This window comes from Homo sapiens, chromosome 2 (assembly GCF_000001405.40).
Source record: "Homo sapiens chromosome 2, GRCh38.p14 Primary Assembly".
NCBI lineage: Eukaryota > Metazoa > Chordata > Mammalia > Primates > Hominidae > Homo > Homo sapiens.
The window spans coordinates 121,072,476-121,078,475 of NC_000002.12; the positions used below are offsets into that span (position 1 = coordinate 121,072,476).

The 6,000-nt window shown below is 56.5% G+C and overlaps 5 annotated features.

Annotated features, from left to right (window-relative positions):
- Positions 1,934-2,784: an enhancer, noted in NCBI's record as "OCT4-NANOG-H3K4me1 hESC enhancer chr2:121831985-121832835 (GRCh37/hg19 assembly coordinates)". NCBI's record gives its function as "activates a minimal SCP1, AML or CMV promoter by ChIP-STARR-seq in primed H9 embryonic stem cells {active_cell/tissue: H9 hESC(primed)}" and the evidence as "EXISTENCE:reporter gene assay evidence [ECO:0000049][PMID:30033119]".
- Positions 1,934-3,636: a biological region, named in NCBI's record as "VISTA enhancer hs522".
- Positions 2,367-3,266: an enhancer, noted in NCBI's record as "VISTA enhancer hs522". NCBI's record gives its function as "enhancer in: hindbrain (rhombencephalon)[7/7] | forebrain[6/7] | other[6/7]" and the evidence as "EXISTENCE:transgenic organism evidence [ECO:0001131][PMID:17130149]".
- Positions 2,678-2,972: a silencer, noted in NCBI's record as "tiled region #14857; HepG2 Repressive non-DNase unmatched - State 20:ReprD, and K562 Repressive DNase unmatched - State 5:Enh". NCBI's record gives its function as "represses a minimal TATA promoter and a strong SV40 promoter by Sharpr-MPRA in HepG2 and K562 cells {active_cell/tissue: HepG2 | K562}" and the evidence as "EXISTENCE:reporter gene assay evidence [ECO:0000049][PMID:27701403]".
- Positions 2,785-3,636: an enhancer, noted in NCBI's record as "OCT4-NANOG-H3K27ac-H3K4me1 hESC enhancer chr2:121832836-121833687 (GRCh37/hg19 assembly coordinates)". NCBI's record gives its function as "activates a minimal SCP1, AML or CMV promoter by ChIP-STARR-seq in naive and primed H9 embryonic stem cells {active_cell/tissue: H9 hESC(naive and primed)}" and the evidence as "EXISTENCE:reporter gene assay evidence [ECO:0000049][PMID:30033119]".

Genomic DNA, 6,000 nt, shown 5'->3' on the forward strand with positions numbered 1-6,000 from the left:
GCTCTTGCAACTCACTGGGTGACCTTAGGCAGGGCCCATCCTCTCCCTGGGCTCCCATTTCCCTGAATGCACAATGGGGGTCTTCTGAGACTCCTGAAGGGTCGCTAGTTCAACCCCTTGGAGTTGGGGGAAGCCCAGCTACCCTTCTCTGGCTTTTTTTGCGGGAGCGGTCTCAGCACCAATGCTTGGAGTTTGGGAAAATACACAGCTCTCCAGAGTGATGGGGAGCAGGGCTTCCCCGACTTGGTGGGGGCCAGTGATACCAGCAGCCACTTTTTAACTTGATCAAGAGCACGACTGCTATAGCCCAGTCATTGTATCCTAAGGGACAGGCCGCTCCCGCCTGATTGTATCCCCAACAAGGAACTAGGCCAACGCCGTACAGCCCACGTCAATTCCGTCCCTAACCCCTGCCAGCCTGGAGTTCCTGGGGGCATCACCCTCTCTCATCTGCAGCAACCACGTGGTGCCTCCTGCAGGAAAGCCCAGCCTGGCTCCCACTGCCCATTGCCGGGCTGGGCTCCACTCAGGCAGCCGCTGCTTCCTCTGCAGACCTTTTCTCTTCTGGGCGGGACAGGAACCCACGGCTGCTCAGGCACTGTGCCCCACTACCCCCTGGTCTTTGCACATGCTGTTCCCTCTGCCAGGATCACTGTGTTCCACTTTCCCACGTAGTCTGCAGAACCCGACCTGACAGTTCCCATCCCACAAGGGTTTCCCATCTCCTCCCATTCCGTTCCTACAGGCTCTGCCACCTGCACCAGTCAGAGTTCAGAGAAGTGGAACATTGGGACGTGAGAGGACATGCACGCGCACACACACACAGACACACACACACACACAGACACACAGACACAGAGACACACACAGACACACACACAGACACACAGACACACACGCACAGACACAGAGACACACACACAGACACACACACACAGACACAGACACAAACACACAGAGACACACACGCACACACAGAAACACACAGACACACAAAGACACACACACATAGACACAAACACACACACAGAGACACACACATGCAGGAACATACAGAAACATACACAGACATACAGACATACACAGACACACACACGCACTACACGGACAGACACGCGGACACCAACACACAGACACAAACACACAGAGACACACACACGCAGACACCCACAGACACACAGACACAGACACACACGCAGACACACACAGACACACAGACACACGCAGACACAGACACGTATACACACAGACACACACACAGACACACAGACACACCCACAGACACACACACAGACACACACACATACATATATAGACACGCACACACACACAGATACGCACAGACACACACAGATACATAGACACGCACGCACACACAGATACACACAGACACATGCAGACACACAAACACGTAGACACACACACACAGACACACACAGACACACACACACACGACCTATTACAGGGACTTGGCCTTGTGAAACCTTGGGCACTGGCCACCCCGTCTAAGGGAACTGCTGCTTCTCCGGTGCGTGGAGCTGGCAGGGCGGGCGTGGGGAAAAGGGGATGACCATGAAGTGGGGTAGGAGGACAAACGGAACCTGACAGGCTGAGCTGGAACTCCCACCGGGAAGTGGCAGACCCCAAGTCAATCTGTCCCCTGCTCTAAGCCTCTACCTTCGAGGATGGGCACCCCGTGGAAGAAGCCGGCACTTTCATGAACTAAGCATATACCTGGCCTGGGAGTCAAGAAGGCCACAGGAGGCTCTGGCTGGGCTGGAAGAGCTATGCCCCAGCTGCCTGGACACCAAATCCATCTCCTGAGATCAGCAGCACCTGCGAGTCCCCTGTGTGTTGGGAGGCACTGGCCCCTCTCGCCTTCTGAGTGTAAAAGGAAGACATGACTGCTGCTCCCTCTGCCCCTCCCCTGGGGCCCCAGATAACCCAAGCCTGTGCAGGGAAGGGAGTTCTGGGTGCTGCAGTTCAGCTCAGCTAGGCTGACCGGACACACATCTGTCACACCACCCCAGAGCCTAACCCATGCCGGGTCCTGGAGCTACTCCCGGTGGTGGCCACACTTCCTGCCTCCAGGAAATCCATCATCTCCTGGGAAAGACAAGTCAAGAGACAAAAACACCATTGAATGTGCACGGTGAGGTGGGCAATAGCCATGCAGGCCTGACGGGGAGAATGTGTCCCGTACCAGGGGAAGACTGCAGTGGCCCCCAGGGATGGAGAGGGCCGAGGTCCCGGGGAGGGGGCAGCTGTGCCAGCTCCAGGGCCTTCACTTCTGGGCCTTGGGCTGATGATGCTCCCCTGGGGAGGGCAAAAGGGAGGACAGCGAGGAGCAGGCTTTGGGTGGGACCAGCTGGGAACAATACCTGTGTCTGCCTTGCCAAGCCTCACAATTCCTATCTAGAAAATGGGGTTGTTGGGAGAATTGAAGATAAAATATATACAAGTATTGCACTGGACCTGACTCTCCCCACCCCAAAGTTGACCATTCCCAAAATTGACAGTGTCGTTATCTAGGTCCTAAAAAATCCAAGGGAGAAATGAGATTTCCTGTGTCTTCCCAGAAGCTACGCCACTGCTCTTGAACTTGGGAATTGCCACGAAGTGCAGGGGGTGGGGTGGACACGGAGGTCTGTAGGGCCGAGGAAAAAAAACACGACACAACTGGGGCCTTCCAGGGTCTCCCCCGACCCCTGTTCATCCTGCCTGCAGCACCTCATTCCCAACGAGGGCCTGCAGCCAGCTCCTGCCATCTGCCATGAGTTATAGAAAACAGGCAGTGATTAATCAGCCAGTCAACGCCGCGTGCAGCTATCCTCTTTCATTTATCTGCCCCCTGACCCCCCCAGCACAGTCCACGCAGCAATAGGCAAGTGTATTAATCATACGCTTTAAAAATATTTAAAGGAGGAGCTGAGCCTGGAGCAGAGTCTCCTTTAATGGACTCATTTTCAGCTGAGGGTGAGTATGCTAATTAGGAGATAAAACAAACGGGCTGTTTGAAATGCAAATGAGCTGCTGGGAGCACTTCTGGTCCCTTCCTTCCCTGCCGCCTGTTTGGGAGGCTAAATCTTATTTCTCCCAGCCGCTTCCCGCCACCGATTTCTAACCAGAAAAGATAGTGGCTGATTCTAAAACTGAGAGGTACTAGGTCGTGTTTTCACCGCCCCCCCTCCCCGCCCCCCGCCTTTGCCCTGGATCAAGGAGCAGAGAGGACAAAAGTTGCCCCAACTCCAACTCCAGCATGAAAAAACCCCAGCCGGGAGGGGAGGCGTGGCTGCTCTCCCCCCATCTCCTGGCACCCACCCAGTCCTCCCCATCTCTTGCCAACCCTGCCCCCTCAGTTTCTCTCCTCTCCTTTTCCTCTGCCTCTGCCCAGCTTGGCGTTTCCCAGCTCGCCTCCCTGCCCACCTCCTTGCCCTCTCCATTCCGTCAGCTGCTAGCAGGAGCCTCGGGCACAAATCCAGAGCCTTCCTGGCTGCAGCCTTTCCTGGGGTCCCAGGCACCACTCCCACCTACCACCCAGTCTAAACCCCGCCTCCTGTCCCCGCTGCCCTGGGGCCCTCCCTGCCCCATCACAACCACACACCTGCTATTCCCTCCTCTGGGCTTGGGGAATCCTAGTGCCCCTGCTTGGAGCCTTCCCTCCCACCTCCCGTGGCTGGCTCCCCAGCCCTTCAGGACTCAGGGCGCATCACCTCCTCAGGGAAGCCCTCAGACCTCCTGGTGCCTTCGTGATTCCTGGATCTGGCACCTGTCTTGGGTGTGACAAAGCATGTATGTGTTTGTGGATTTGTCACCCCTCTTCCCAGGACCTAGGGCTCCTTGGCGCAGGAGCTGTTTTCTCCCCTGCCATGCGCCGTGCCTGCTGGCACATGGCTAGCATCTAGTGAGTGCACACTGAGTTGAGTTGATTGCTAGGAGGCCCATGAGCTCCCTGCATCCCCTGACAGGCACTGCACCAGCCTAGGGAGCCCTGGCAGCTCGGGATGACCACCTGCTCTAAGGCAGGTCTGGAGAGGCAGAGAGGAGCATTCAATCCAGGGGCCACCTCATTTAAGATACGCAGTGTTCCACCTGGAAAGACGGCTCCAAGTCCACCCCTGCCAGTGGGGCTTGTCCCAGTGCAGCGTCTGCTTATTCTAGGAGACGGGAAGAGTGACCTGCACTGTCAGGCAGGGTCAGACGCTGCCTCTTAACTTCGCCGGCTCAGACTCTTGGCTGGTTCAGGTGTGGAGCTTCCAGCCCCAGCCCTACCCAAGCAGTCCCCAGGCGTCTCTTCAAGATTCCCAGAACCCAGGTGATCACAGTCTGGCTTCCATCTGTCCTGGGCACAGCCGAGCAGGAGCCCAATCATAATATCGGGGCATTAAATATTTAAACATTGTCTTCAGGTAACCGCCCCCCGCCCCCCGCCCCCCGCAAGTCTGAACTCTCTCCCGACTCAGTCCAGTTCACTGGTATTCTCATTCTCCAACTCCTTATCAAACTGTGTCTCAGGTGGGATTGTCTGGGAAGCAGACGCTGAGACGGAGTGAGGGGTGCAATAGCGTAACGGGGAGCACCACCTGTAAGAGGAGAGGGAAGAAGCAAGGTGGGCGGGGCCGGCCATCCTGATGCATCCTCCCTGCACAACCTGCACCTGCCAGCAGAGGGCGCCGGAGCAAAGCGCGCCCGTCCCATCTCAGGAGGCCTGTGGCCGCGGAAGGGGCCGGGATGGGGATCATTGCCCTGCTCAGTCCTTGCTGGGGCCACCCCAGAATAGTGTGCCTTCAGCTCGGAAACAGGCAAAGCCAACAGCTGGACCCCAGTTCGCAGCTGGGCATCAGTACTTTCTTGAAGGGAAGTCTAAGCGGCCATCTCCTTGGGTCTTAGCTTGAGTTCCCCTGAGGAGAAAGCCTGACACAGGCAGCAGGGAAGAAAGCTAGGGGAGACCTTCCAGAGTCTGGGATGCATCTCAGAACCATCGGCCTGGGGATGAAGGAGGGAGTTTTGCCCAGCTGCTTCTGCCCCTGCCGCTCGAGGGTGGCCCCGTGGTGTGGCCCCACACTTCCAGATACACAGGCGTGGGTGCTGAGCAGTTTCACCATACCCCACATGGGCCAGGTGCAAGGTGCTGTCCACCCCAGCTGTGTGAGGTTGGCCAAAGCCACGTGGAACTGGTCATGCAGCAGACAGACATGGGAGACAGCAGGTTGAGGAGGAGTCGGGAACATTGAGAGTTTGTTTGGGGACCCCATTAAAGTTGAGGTCTTATATAAACATCCAATCGCAGAAGGATGCATAGTTACCAACCTGTAGCTCAGGGAGCTGCCGGGCTGGAAACATACACTTGGGAACCACCTGCTTATGGACAACATGAAAAGCCATGGCCTGGATGAGTTCACTTAGGGGCAGAAAAGAGAAGAGGTGTTTGGATGCAGCCCTGAGAACCCTCTTAAGATAGAGAGAAGGGAAGAACAAGTCAAGGAGGTCAAGGCGGTGCTGTGGGGATGGGAGGGAAACCAGGGGCATGGCAGATCATGGGATGGGCTAGAGTGCGGGGAAGGCCTCGGAAGGGAGCCTGGACGGTCTGTCCATCCCAACAGCAGGGAAGACGTGGCCCCTCCATGGACATATGTGCTCAGATTGCTCTTTCTCCAGTGTACTCGAAAGCAAGGCATCAGCCTGAGAGTTTGGAGAAAGAAGAGGCTGCCGTGCCTTTGTGGGGAGAGCGAAGATGAGGAAAAGTCTCCCAAAACACTACGGGGGCGTGTTGGGATCTTTTCCCTCAATCAGGCTGAGCATATGTTCTGGTGTCCCACCTGCTCAGGCACCCCCTGGCTCCCCAGGATGTACATGTGTCAGGGTGAGCAGCCAAGGCCTAGAGCACCGTCCAGGCTTGTGGTCAGGGCGGAGGTGGGGCATTATCATGAGGCTCAAGGGTAGCATTTTGTTCCAGAGTGAGCATCTAGGGTGACATTTAGATGTGACTGCACTTCGAAG